This window comes from Homo sapiens, chromosome 9 (genome assembly GCF_000001405.40).
Source record: "Homo sapiens chromosome 9, GRCh38.p14 Primary Assembly".
Taxonomy (NCBI): domain Eukaryota; kingdom Metazoa; phylum Chordata; class Mammalia; order Primates; family Hominidae; genus Homo; species Homo sapiens.
In genome coordinates this window covers 17,166,471-17,181,317 of record NC_000009.12, presented here as the reverse complement: position 1 = coordinate 17,181,317, position 14,847 = coordinate 17,166,471, and the positions used below count along the sequence as shown (strand labels likewise).

The window sequence follows — 14,847 nt, the reverse complement described above, 5'->3', positions numbered from 1 at the left end:
TGGGCTCAACAGCCAACTGGAGAGGACAGGAAAGAATCAGTGAAAAGCAAAAGAGAACAACAGAATTTACCAAATATGAACAACATGGAAAATAGACAAAACGAACACCACCTCAGAGGCCTGTCAAAGATCTAATATTTACAACACCTGAGCCTAGGTAGAAGAGAAAGAAGGCAGGTCAATAAATATACAAAGAAACAGTGACTCAAAATTTATCAAGTTTGGCAAAAGACATAATCATACAGATTCATGAAGCTGAACAAACCCGAACACAATAATCTCAAATAAATCTATACCAAGTCATATCATACGAAAACTTCCAAAATCTAAAAACTAAGAAAAAATCTTGAAGATAGTGACACAGAAATACCATTATTACCTAAAAACAATGATTCAGATGACAGCAGATTTCTTGCTGGAAACCACCAAAACCAGAAGGAAGGGGCATGGCATTTTTCAAATACCGAAAGAAAAGAAAAGAATCAACGCACAATTCTATAATATAACCAGTGAAAATAATTTTTAGGAATTAAAGGAAATCAAGACATTCTTAAAAAATAGGAGGGGGGAAATCTAGGAATTGGTTGTCATGAGACCAAACAAAAAAGTATAGCTAAAGTAAGTTTTCTAAATAGAAAAGAAATTTTAAATGGAGGGATCCTGGAACATCAAGAAGGAAGAAGGAAAAGAGTAAAGGCAAAAATCTGCATAAATACAACAGACTTTCCTTGTCTTCTTCAGTTTTCTAAATTAGGTTTGATGGCTGAAACAAAAAGTATAATAATATCTTATGTGGTTCTAAATGTGGGTCAAAAAATATTCATGGCAACTATATTATATAGGGGAAAGAAAAGGAAAATAGAGAGAAAGGTTTCTATTATAAATGTCACTTAAAGTAGTAAAATATTGATACCAGTACACTGTGCTAAGTTATGTATATATAATATAATATAATATAATATAATATAATAATTAGAGCAACCACTAAAGATATATACAAAGAGATACCACCAAAACCAATACAGATAAATCAAAATGAAATTCTAAAATGCGTTCCAATAGCCAACAGGAAGGCAGGAAAAAAAAAAAAACAGAGATAGCAAACAGAAAAAAAAGCAAAATGACACACGTAAATGCTAACATATCAATAATCAAGCTGAATGTAAATAATCTAAAATATACAAATCAAAAGTGCTCAACAGAGTAGATTTTAAAATATGATGCAACTATATAGTAACTAAAAGAAACTCATTTCAAATATGGCAATATAGGTAAGTTGAAAGTAAAAGGAAGGAAAAAAGATATGTAATCATTCTTCAAAAGAAAGAAGAGTGGTTATATTAACATTGAATAAAGTGTACTTCAGAGCAAAGAAAATTACTAGGGAAAGTAAGGGACATTATACAATGATAAAAGAATCTACCAAGAAGACGTAGTGATCCTAAATGTGTACGTACCAACTTTAGACTTTAGAGCTCAAAATAATATACAGAAAAAAAACTGATAGAACTGAAAAGAGTAATAGATAAATCAATAATTATGTTTGGCAACTTCAAAATGCCTCTCTCAACAATGTATAGAACTAGCCAGTGAATTATCAAAGGTACAGAAGAGCTCAGCAACAAAATCAACCTATAGGATCTAATCAATATTTATGGAACAATCCACCAACATCAGCAAAATATATATTATTTTCAAATGCCCATAGATTTATACAAAGATAAACCATACTTTGGGCCACAAAACAAACCTTGTCAAATTTAAAGAATTTAAATCACAGAGTACATTCTCTGACCATATGAAATCAAACTAAAAATCTGGCAAAGGAAAAATCGCCAAACACTTGAAAATTAAATAACACATTTCTACATAATCCTTGGTCATACAGAGAGTCTCACAGGAAAGTTAAAAATACATAGAACTGAATAAAAATAAAAAGGCAGCATATCAAAATATGGGGGATGAAGTTAAAGCAGCTGAGAGGAAAATTTATAAAATTAAAGGTGTACGTTACAAAACAGGAAAAATCTCAAATCAATAATCTACACTTCTTCTTTTTTTTTTTTTTTTTTTTGAGACGGAGTCTCGCTCTGTCGCCCAGGCTGGAGTGCAGTGGCGGGATCTCGGCTCACTGCAAGCTCCGCCTCCCGGGTTCACGCCATTCTCCTGCCTCAGCCTCCCAAGTAGCTGGGACTACAGGCGCCCGCCACTACGCCCGGCTAATTTTTTGTATTTTTAGTAGAGACGGGGTTTCACCGTTTTAGCCGGGATGGTCTCGATCTCCTGACCTCGTGATCCGCCCGCCTCGGCCTCCCAAAGTGCTGGGATTACAGGCGTGAGCCACCGCGCCCGGCCAATAATCTACACTTCTGAGAGGTGACAGCGTGCTGGCAGCTCTCACAGCCCTCCCTCGCTCTCGGCGCCTCCTCGGCCTTGGCGCCCACTCTGGCCACGCTTCAGGAGCCCTTCAGCCCACCGCTGCACTGTGGGAGCCCTTGCTGGGCTGGCCAAGGCCAGAGCTGACTCCCTCAGCTTGAAGGCAGGTGTGGAGGGAGAGACGCTGGCAGGAACTGGGGCTGCCCGCAACCCTTGTGGGCCAGCGTGAATTCCGGGTGGGTGTGGGCTCGGTGGTCCCCGCACTTGGAGCGGCCGGCCAGCCGGCAGGCCCCGGGCAGTGAGGGGCTTAGCACCTGGGCCAGCAGCTGCTGTGCTCGATTTCTCACCGGGCCTTAGCTGCCTCCCTGTGGGGCAGGGCTCCAGACCTGCAATTCGCCATGCCTGAGTCCCCCATGCACCCCCCGCCCCCGCCCTGCTGTGGGATCCCGGGCAGCCCGAGCCTCCCTAACCAGCACCACTCCCTATTCCAGGGCGCCCAGTCCCATCTACCGCCCAAGGGCTGAGGAGTGCGGGCACAGGGCACGGGACTAGCAGGCAGCTCCACCTGCGGCCCGGGTGCGGGATCCACTGGGTGAAGCCAGCTGGGCTCCTGAGTCTGGTGGGGAATTGGAGAACCTTTATGTCTAGCTAAGGGATTGTAAATATACCAATCAGCACTCTGAATCTAGCTCAAGGTTTGTAAACATACCAATCAGCACCCTGTGTCTAGCTCAGTGCTTGTGAATGCACCAATCGACACTCCGTATCTAGTTAATCTGGTGGGAACTGGGAGAACCTTTATGTCTAGCTAAGATATTGTAAATACACCAATCAGCACTCTGTATCTAGCTCAAGGTTTGTAAACACACCAATCAGCACCCTGTGTGTAGCTCAGGGTTTGTGAATGCACCAATCAACACTCTATATCTAGCTAATCTAGTGGGGATGTGGAGAACTTTTGTGTCTAGCTCAGGGATTGTAAATGCACCAATCAGCACCCTGTCAAAATGGACCAATCAGCAGGATGTGGGTGGGGCCAGATAAGAGAATAAAAGCACCGCTGCCTGAGCCAGCAGTGGCAACCCATTCAGGTCCCCTTCCATACTGTGGAAGCTTTGTTCTTTCGCTCTTTGCAATAAATCTCGCTGCTGCTCACTCTTTGGGTCCACACTGCCTTTATGAGCTGTAACACTCACCGCGAAGGTCTGCAGCTTCAGTCCTGAAGCCATCGAGACCACAAACCCACTGGGAGGAACGAACAACTCCGGATGTGCTGCCTTAAGAGCTGTAACACTCACCGCAAAGGTCTGCAGCTTCACTCCTGAGCCAGTGAGACCACGAACCCACCAGAAGGAAGAAACTCCGAACATATCCGACCATCAGAAGGAACAAACTTCGGACACACCGCCTTTAAGAACTGTGACACTCACCACAAGGGTCCGCAGCTTCTTTGTTGAAGTCAGTGAGACGAAGAACCCACCAATTCCGGACACATTTCCACTTCAAGAAACTGAAAATAATTTTTTTTTTTTTGAGACAGAGTCTTGTTCTGTCGCCCAGGCTGGAGTGCAGTGGCACAATCTCAGCTCACTGCAAGCTCCGCCTCCCGGGTTCACGCCATTCTCCTACCTCAGCCTCCAGAGCAGCTGGGACTACAGGTGCCTGCCACCACGCCAGGCTAATTTTTTGTATTTTTAGTAGAGACGGGGTTTCACCATGTTAGCCAAGATAGTCTCGGTCTCCTGACCTCGTGATCTGCCTGCCTCAGCCTCCCAAAGTGCTGGGATTACAGGCGTGAGCCACCGCGCCCAGCCAAGAAACTGAAAATTATTGACAGAGATAACAACAAAAAGGAAATAATAAAAAGCAGAAATCAACATAATAGAAAACAGAAAAATAATAGAGAAAATCAATGAAACTAAGAACTTTTTGGAAGTGCAATACTTTGCAAAAACTTCTAGCAGACTGACAAGGGAAAAAAATAGGGAAAAGACACATCTGTTATCAATATCAAGAAACAGGATTATCAACAGACACTGCAGACATAAAACCATAACAAGAAAAAACTGTGAACAACGCTATACACATAAATTTGACAACTTAGAAAAACCAGTTCCTCAAGATGCACAAACTACCACACTTCACCAACATGAAATAGATAACTGAACAATCCTATAACTATTAAGGAAAGCGAATTGGCAATTTGGAAACTCCCAGAAAAGAACCCTCCAGGTTCAGATAATTTACTAAAGAATTCCACCAAATATTTGAAGAAGAATAACATCAACTCTACACAATTTGTTCCAGAAAACAGAAGAGAAAGCACCACTTCCTGATTCATTTTATGAAGCTACTTATCTCTGATATAAAAACCAAAGATAGTACAATAAAAGAAAGCTATACACCAATATCCCTCATGATTAGAGATGCAATCAATCCTTAACAAAACATTAGCAAATAGTATTTAGCAATGTATAATTGTACTCCACGACCAAGTGAAATTTATTCCAGTAGGCAAAGCTGGTTCAGTATTCAAAAATAAATCCATGTATTCCACCATATCAACAGTCTGAAGAAGAAAAATCTCCTGGTCATATCAAGTGATGCAGTACAAGCATTTCATGGAATCAAATGCCCATTCATGATAAAAAAAAAATTATCAGCAATCTAGGAACAGAAAATTTCCTCAACTTGATAAAAAAAAAATTTACAAAAAACTTGCAGGGACCATTTAGTGAAAGACTGATTTCTCTCTAAAATAGGAGCAGGGCAATGATGGCCACTCTCACCACTCTTACTCAACATAGTACTGGAAAATATAGCCAACACAATAAGGGAAAATAAAATAAAATAAAAGGCACACATATCAGAAAGGAAGAAATAAAACTCCACTTGCTTACAATTACAATAGATAATTACAATAGATAATTAACATGATTATGTAGAAAAATCAAGGGATCATTAAAAAAATAAAATCTTAGAAATAATAAGTGCACACGGAAATCCTTATTCTATATATTAGTAATGCAAACACGGACACTAAACATAAAAATACAGTATCATTTACCATCATACCAAAAAGTTTAAATACATAGGTGTAAATCTAACAATATATAGGACTTGCATGCTGAAAACTACAAAATGGTAGTGAAAGCAATCAAAGAAGATCTAAATAAATGGAGAGACATCTTATGTCCATGGATTAGGAGTCAACAATTCTCCCCCAAATTGATATCTAGGTTCAACTCAAAACCTGAACAAGATTTTTAAAAAATAGAGACAAGAGTCTTCTAAACTTCATGGAAAAGCACAGGACTGAAATATCTAAAACAATTTTGAAAAGGAAGAAAAAGCAGGAGAAATCATTCTAGCAGATTTTAAGATGCATTATATAGCTATAGTAATCAAGATGGTATGGTATTGACAGAAAACAGACCTATAGATCAATAGAACAGAATGAAGAACCAAGAAATACAACCATGCAAATATACCCAAGTGATTTTAGACAAAGATGCAAAATAGTTCAATGGGAAGAGGACGATACTTTTAACAAATTGTGCTAGAAGAATTAGACATCCACAGGCAAAAAAAGAAAAGAAACTTGACCTCCTTAAATCTCTTCTTAAACAAATAGTAACTCAAAATGGATTGTGAACTTAAGTACAAAACATAAAACTATAAAACTTTTAGGAAAAAAAATAAGAGAAAATCTTTGGTCTCTAGAGCTAGGCAAAAACAAAATCTCAATTTGACGCCAAAAACATACCCATTGAAGAAAAAATTAAAATTGGACTTCATCAAAATTTTAAATTTTGTTCTACAAAAGACCTTGTTAAGAGGATGAAACACAAGCTATAGACTGGGAGACAATATTTGCAAACCACATAGTTGACAAAAGACCAGTATCTGGGATATGAAAAGAACTTTGAAAACTCAACAGTAATTTTTTGAAATCCAAATAGGAAATGGGCAAAAGACATGTCCTCATCGAAGAGGACATTCAGATGGCAAATGAATACAGGAAAAGATGTTCAACATCATTAACCATGAGAAATGCAAATTAAAACTTCAATGAGGTATAACTATACATCAGCAGAATGGCTAAAAGAAAACATAGTGACACCAAATACTGGTGAAGAAGCAGATAAACCAAATCACTCTCACACATTGCTGGATAAAATGTAAAATGGTATAGACACTCTGACAAACGGTTTGGCAATTTCTTTCTTTTTTTTTTTTTTTTCCTGAGACGGAGTCTCGTGCTGTTGCCCAGGCTGGAGTGCAGTGGCACAATCTCGGCTCACTGCAACCTCCGCCTCCCGGGTTGAAGCAATTCTCCTGTCTCAGCCTCCCGAGTAGCTGGGACTACAGGCACCCACCACCACGTCCGGCTAATTTTTATATTTTTGGTAGAGATGGGGTTTCACCATATTGGCCAGGCTGGTTTCAAACTCCTGACTTCAGGTGATCCACCCACCTCGGCCTCCCAAAGTGCTAAGATTACAGGCATAAGCCGCTGCACCCAGCTGGCAATTTCTTAACAAACTAAGGCTATAACAATCACATGGCCCAGCAATTACACTCCTGGCCATTTATCCCAGATAAATAAAAACTTAGGTTTACAACAAAAAAGTATGTACACAAATATTCATAGCAACTAATTCATAATAGTCAAAAACTGGAAACAACCCAGATGTCCTTCAACAAGTGAATGGCTAAACTGTGGTACATCCATACTATGGGACACTCTTCAGCAATAAAAATAAATGAACTACTGATATATACAAAAATTTGAAAGAATCACCAGAGAATTATGCTGAATGAAAAGCCTATACTAAAAAGTTACATGCTGTCTGATTCCATTTATACAACATTTTAGAAATGATAAAATTACAAAAATGGAGAACAAATAAGCAGCTGCCAGGATTTACAAACAGGCTAGGGTGTGGAGCATAAAGAGTGAAGTGAGTGGGGTTATAAAAGGGGTCCTTATGGTGACAGAATTGTTCTGCATTGACTGTATAAATGTCAATATCCTGTCTTCATACTGTACTATAGTTTTGCAAGATGTTATTATTGGAAAGAAATGGTTCAAGCATATGCCAAATCTCTGTATTATTTCCTGTAACTGCATGTGAATCTACAATTATCTCAAAATGAAAAGTTTAATTTTTAAAAAATGGCTACCTACTATTTCCTTAAAAAATCGCTGACCCTAAAATCAATTGAAAACACCCTTTAAGTCTTCCACTAGTCTTCTCCAACAATGTTTCTTTGTTTTGATGAGAAGAAAGCAAATTTCTGACTTAATTACTGTGAATCACCGTTACAATTCCAATTTAAGAAAAAAAAATCAGGAATAAGAATGTTGAAAACTTTTAATACCATAATTTCAGCCACGGATTAACCCTTATGAGCTCAAGAGTGATAAGCATCTGTCCACGCTTCTACAATACCCCTATTTTAAGACTATGGCAGAAACAAGAAAACAAGTTTTACATAAATTGTTTCCTTAAAATAAGACGCATCAGGGTATCAAATGGTAGAAACTATTTTTAAAATTAAATATGCATACGCACATGTATTTCATAAAGTTATTATGTTAAAGGACAAATCTGTCTTCATAACACTGGTGATTAAGAAAATGTATACCCTAATTTGTTTACTATTCATCTATCAGGTTAGAAGACATGAAATTTCCAATGAGATATTTTACATTAAAATTAAAGTAATATACAAATATTAGATATTATTATTCAGCATTATAGCTATAACTTCATACTCATAATGTTTAGGTAGTACTCAACATTTCTGGCTTTCCAATAAATGATAAAAGATGTACTATTCGTTCTTTTTGACAGTGACTTCTTTGAAATTAATATGCTGGTCTTCACTGATGCTGAAGCCATTAACTTTCCTTTTCTCCACAAAAAATTTGTAGAAATCTTCCAACAGGATATAACCATTATTTTTTCCAAAATTCAAAAAGCTTTTCCCTCAGGTTTCCCTGAGTGATTCCCTTATAGTATATGATATCAAAGATGAAACATCAGCATAAATAAATATGATATTAATCATGTTGGAGGCCTTGATGTAAAGGCTAGTCAGATCAAATAGTTTATGAAGGAATGTGTACACACTTATAAGTAGACTTAGCAATAAAGTGCACTGAAACCTAGAAGTTTATATTTGACCTATTATGTATTTTACTAAGTTCAGCCTTTTCTAAGTAAAATTTCCCTTTTTTTAAATTAGGCAATTTTAGAATAATATCCAGGAAATAAAAATGAAAATAGAAAAATGTTAGGCATTAAAACTTTTTACAATTATGAAAAATATATTATTTAAAGGCAGTATACAGCAAGATGACAGAGTAAGAAATACCAGCCTTCGTCTTCCTCCCCTAAAAATAACTAGAAAGTTATCCATAAGCAAAATAGCCCAAAGAGGTCTCAAGAGTCTAAATAAGAATCTACACAAGAAAAATGGAGGAAAAATTGGTGAATAACTGCACAGAAAGGATGGATGGGGTATTCCATAAAACCTAAAATGTCTGGGGACAACTAGGAACAAAGAAGAAGTGTAGGAAAATCAGTATCAGCTACACAGCAGGTGCTACCATGGTCCCCAACAGCCTACTCTGCAGATTACTCTTGCAGCCATTACTGCTAAGGAGCTTAACAGTCCCAAAAGCAGTCACAGACTCTCTGCATTTTGTCTCCTTAGTGTTCATAGGTACAAACTCCAGCAACCTGCTCCTCAGAGGACACCAGCAGCTTTCACCACTGAGATAAACAGTAGCCATAACCACCCCCTAGAAGAAGCTGCCACCCGCCGCAACCTCACATATGCAACAGATCCCAGAACTACAGCTGCACTATTCACCTGCACTCCAAACCCCAGCTCAATGGCCGATCCATGAGTATCCATGCCTCAAACATTGAAGCCACCAACACAGCAGGCTAGCCTGTGCCCAGATCTTAAAGCCACTGTTCACTCTGCACACAACTGCACTATGGACCCTGGCTCCATGGCTACTCTAATGTGCTTGCACCTAGGACACTGAAGCCACCACCACAGGGAGAGTAACAATGTCCTGGACCCTGGAGCTACCTATAACTTTGCACATAACCACACTTTGGACCCTGGCTCCCTAGCTATTCCACGAGCACCCATACTGTACATACCATTACCAAACCGGTGGGGGTGCCTGTGCCCTGGATACTAGAACCACTGCTACCCCAGACCCTGGAGTCACCATCCCTCCCTCCACACATGCCTGAGCTCCAAACATCAGCTCCATGGCCACTCCATAGGCACTGTGCTAAGCTAGACCCAGCACCAAGAGGGATACCCTCAACCACAACTTCCTGCACAAGAGAAAAAGAGATCAGGAAGACCTCAGCAGCCCTGGCCATCAAAGAACCCAAAAGCCCTCGCTCCCCCTGCAGACACCTTGTAACACACGCAGCCTTGGCTGCTGAGGACTCCTACAATCTTAGCAGATACTGACTTCAGCTGACAAAACTGCATGGAGACTATACCACTGTATCCTCACCAAAGCTTGGAACCATGGCACCTCATCCAGCCAGCACTCTTGTACCCATCTGTAGGTGAAAGTCTTTGGCCACTGAAATCAATGTGTAAAGTCTAGAAGTGACTGCTCCAATAAATGCACAGATATCAATGCAAGGCAACAAACACAAAAAAACCAAAAACAAGATGCCACCAAAAAACAAAATGCCACCAAAAAACAAAATGACAATTTTCCAGTAACCAATCCCAAAGATGTGCAGATATTTGAATTGTCAAAGCATTCAAAATACAGTCACGTGTAACTTAACAACAAGGATTCATTCCAAGAAATGCATCATTAGGTGATTCTGTCCTTGTGCAAACGTCACAGAGTGTACTCACATAAACCTAAATGATATAGACTACTACACACCTAGGCTATATGGTACAGTCTATAACTCTCAAGCTACAAACCTGTACAGCATGTTACTGTACTGAATACTATAGGCAACTGTAACACAATGGTAAGTATTTGTGCATGTAAACATATCTAAACATAGAAAAAGTACAGTAAAAATACGGTATTATAATCTTATGGGACTACCATCAGATATATAGTCCATCATTGACCAAAACATTGTAATGAGGAAAATGAGTCTAATTGTTTCAAGGAAGCCCACCGAGCTACAAGAGAACACAGATGGATGATTAAATGATATATAAAGAAAACAATACATGAACAAAAGAATGAAAACAGACAGATAAAAATCATTAAAAAGAAACAAATTCCGAAGCTGAGGAATATAACAATGAAATGCAAAATGAAATAGTGTCAACATCAGATTTAATCAAGCAGAAGAATCTGTGAACTGAAAAACAGATAATTTGAAATTACCCAGTTAGAGGAACAGAAAGAATGTAAAAAGGAATGTAAAAGTAAAGAAAGACTACAGTACTTAGGGAACACCATCAGGAGAACCCACTCTTGCCACTTTTATTCAATATACTACTGGAAGTCCTACCCAAAGCAATTAAGCAAGAAAAAGAAAGAAAGGCCATCCAAATTAGAAAGGAAGAAGTAAAACTGCCACTGTCTTTATACAACACAATCTTATATAAAGAAAATTAAAGACTCCTTCCAAAACAAAAAACTGTTAGAAACTAGTAAACAAATTTAGTTAAGTTTCAGAATACAAAATCAGCATATGAAAATCAGTTGTGTTTCTATAACACTAAAACATACTCTCTGAAAAAGAAATTAATAAAACAATCCCATTAACAACAGAATCAAAAATAAATACTTAGAAATACATCTAACCAACTACATGAAAGATCTATAACTGAAAACTATAAAACATTGATGAAAGAAATTAAAGACACAAATAACTGGAAAAATAGCTCATGGATTCGAAGGATGGTTATTGCTAAAATATACATATTACCCAAAACAATCTACAGATTCAATGTAAACCCTATCAAAATTCCAATGGCATTTTTCATACAAGTGAAAAAAAGTCATAAAATTCATATGGAACTGCAAAAGATCATGACTAGCTAAAGCAATCTTCAGCAATAAGAACAAAGCTGAAGCATCACACTTCCTGATTTCAAATCAGATTACAAAGCTATAGTAATCAAAACAGCACGGTACTGGCATAAACACAGATAAACAGACCAATTGAACAGAATAGAGAATCTGAAAAAAATCCATACACAAATGGTCAACTAGCTTTCAACAAAGGTGCCAAGAATACACAATGTGCAAAGGAAAGTCTCTTCAATAAATGGTACCGAGAAAACTAGATAGCTACATGTGGAAGAATAAAATTGGACCCTTATCTTATGCCATACACAAAAATCAACTCAAAATGGATTAAAGGCTTAATCCTAAGACTTGAAATCACAAAACTAGAAAAAACAATAGGGAAAAGCTCCTTGACATCGGTCTTGTCAAAGATTTTATAATCTCCAGTTTAATATTTGATTTCAATTCATAGAACTAGAGTGAGAACCATATTCAACAATTCAAAGGAATGTACCAAGGATATCTGGAGCAATCAAAAGAGACCCCTAATATTCACAAGGCTGTCATTATGTTCTATCAGGTTTAGGATTACTCAAGATTCTAAGGCCAAGTGTGGTGGCTCAGACCTGTAACCCCAGCACTTTCTAAGGCTGAGGCAAGAGGATGCTTGAACCCAGGAGTTCAAGAACAGCCTGGCAAAACAGCAAGACCCCATGTGTACAAAATTTTTAAAAAATTAGACAAACATGTTGGGTGCACACCTGTAGTCCTAGCTACTTGGGAGGCTGAGGCAGGAGAATCAGTTGAGCCCAGAGATTCGAGGCTGCAGTGAGCTATGATCACACCACTATACTCTATCCTGGGTGACAAAGCAAGATGCGGTCACTTAAAAAATAAAAAGACTCTAAATCTATTCAAATAAAAGGTAAAAAATGGATGCCAGACTACGGCAGTGAACAAACTTTCCATAACTCCTGCCCCTGTAATTTGTTGCTGACCTGGTCTTTCGGTAAAACTATCACCTTCACTAGATCCAACACAAAACTTCACAATTCATCACCTACTCTACTATAACCCACTCTTATTCATAATCCTTATTCAATAGAGCCATCTATGGTTTCAAATAAACCAAAACTGAAAAAAAAGGTCTTTATCATAAATGGTATATAAAGTATAACAAAATAAATAGATACCTGTGGTTAATAAATGTTGCTATACAGGACATTTATTCAACAAGTAAACTTAAGAGTTTCAAAATAATAAATAGCCTAAAAATCTGCTATGCTAACTTATATGCAACTGTCAAATTAATCGAAGATCACATACAGAATCAGCATGAACAGTCACATATTTTTATTTAATTCTTAATATCATCCAAGTTACATGTTATTTTTTCAACTTAAACACAGTTATTAAGACATAACCAAAAAACAACCACCACCACCAAAAAAGCAGTCCCAAGTACCATCCATAAATGTATTCATTAGGTCATATATTACTTATTTCTTAAATTTGGGGATATAACTTTTTTCTTTTTTTACTTTCTTTGCTAACTAACATCAAGAAAGACAGGAACATAATCTTTTTCCTTCTTACCCATTTCCTCCCAACATTGATAGCGCTTGGATCTAAACACATTTAGACAGATTTTCTTTTGTGTGTTTGAGAGGGCTAGTATCCCTTGCTATTATAATATTTGCTATCTGCTAACCAACACATAGAATCAAAAGAGGATTCCAATAACTCAACATGCCTTATTATCTAACTTTTTACTAGTCACACTCAGGAAATAAACATATTTGAATAGCAAAAACTATTATATACATTTTATAATGTGTCTCCCAGTCTCTCATCATACCAGAAGTGACGGGGTAATTTTCCCAGAGTCTGACATGTGTAATCTTGTCAGACTGCTTTATACTGCCCCAGAAGGAAGAGGACAATGGAGTACCTACACACTTGCCAGGGAGCCCCTCTCTGTGAGTTTTCCTCAGGGTACACTACCCCAGCACTTCTGGGGGCTGTGCCGTCTGACCAGTGTTTACATGGCAGGTGTAAATCCTGATTTTTAGTCTAGTTTTTTAACATAATACTTATTATGTATGGTTCACAGCTAAGCAACACGGTGTACTATGATGACACTTCCTTTCATATATAACTTTTTGTTTTTTCTGAACAGTTAAAAATTGCATCACTCTGTTATTAACAACCTCACTGTTTAGCTGACTGCATTAATCTCACCGTGAAGATACACATGCTATACCTCATTGTAGAATTTTTCACTTACTGACAACTGTTAACATCAGAGCAGAAAATGTCTTGCTTGCATTCTAGTGCCCCTACAAATACCTTTGGTATATTCTGCCTTTTAGGTTCTATCAGGCCTTAACAGCCTATGCACCTTCCCTTCCTTCTGACATTAAACACATGCTTGCTAAGAGAAGCATAAATTTATGCTGACCTTTTGGTCCTTGAATTGTGTGTGGATCTCAAAAGAAAATCAGTATAGACAGCTTTTCTCATTCCTCATGTGAAAGATAAGAGGCAAAACTGAGAGATGAGAAAGAACAGGATATTGAAAAGAATTTTTTTAAAGTGAACTCATCTAGAGTAGGAACTCTCAAGAAACTTACACATACCCCTTACAATCAATATGGCATCACATTTGGAATCCTGCAAGTAAGTGATGATTTAGTAGTTGTGTTAATTAATGTAATGGAGAGAAATGTTAATAAAGCTCTTTTACCTTTTTTAAAAAACAAAAATTATGTCACTTTTATTTGTGCAGTTTTCTGTTTACTTATCACTAATCCTTTCTAAAATTCTCAAAAAGTATGAAATATCTTTCTCAAAAACATTACAATCTATCACTGCTAATTTTTTCAGAGTCATCCTTCTTAAAGAACTGCTGTAGTCCTGCTTCATTGAGAACTACTGCTACCAAGTCTTCTCAATCTTCTTTCATCTTCACCTTGGAATATCTTTATATTATTCATGTGTTGGATCTCACATTTTCTCAATCCCAACTTTTTATCTTTTTTGGTATATTCTTCGTTTTGGTGGTACACATCTTCCGGTGGCCTCCTAAGAATATGTAATGGGAGATGTGAGACCATGTGTTACAGAAAACGTCTTTATTATTACTTTAAACTTGATTAATATCTGGCTGGTTATAGAATTTTAGGTTGAAAACAATTTATCTCCCAGAATTACAAAAGCATTGCTCCATGTCTTCCAGCTTCTAGCAATTGAGACAATCACTGTTATTCTAATTATTAACTCTATGTATGTGGCTGTATTTTTTCCCCTCTAAGAGGTTTCATGATCTCACTATCTCCAACATTCTAAAATTGCATAATAATGTGCCTTGCAATAGTTCTTTGTGCTGGACAATCAATGGATGCTTTCAATCCTAAACTCCTGAGCCTGAA

At 37.6% G+C, this 14,847-nt stretch overlaps 1 protein-coding gene across 18 annotated transcripts in view; it reads right to left on the bottom strand.

Annotated features, from left to right (window-relative positions):
- CNTLN (centlein) overlaps positions 1-14,847 on the bottom strand; it is a 393,595-nt gene that overhangs the window by 347,317 nt on the left and 31,431 nt on the right. For 2 of the 18 annotated variants that reach the window (NM_001286984.2, NM_001286985.2), the window contains exon 3: positions 12,747-14,500. The exons of the other annotated variants lie outside the window; for them this stretch is intronic. In NM_001286984.2, coding sequence (NP_001273913.1) covers positions 14,338-14,500 — 163 coding nt within the window. In that variant the 3' untranslated portion in view covers positions 12,747-14,337. Of the gene's footprint in view, positions 1-12,746; positions 14,501-14,847 lie in introns of those variants that run through there. 18 annotated transcript variants of the gene reach the window in all.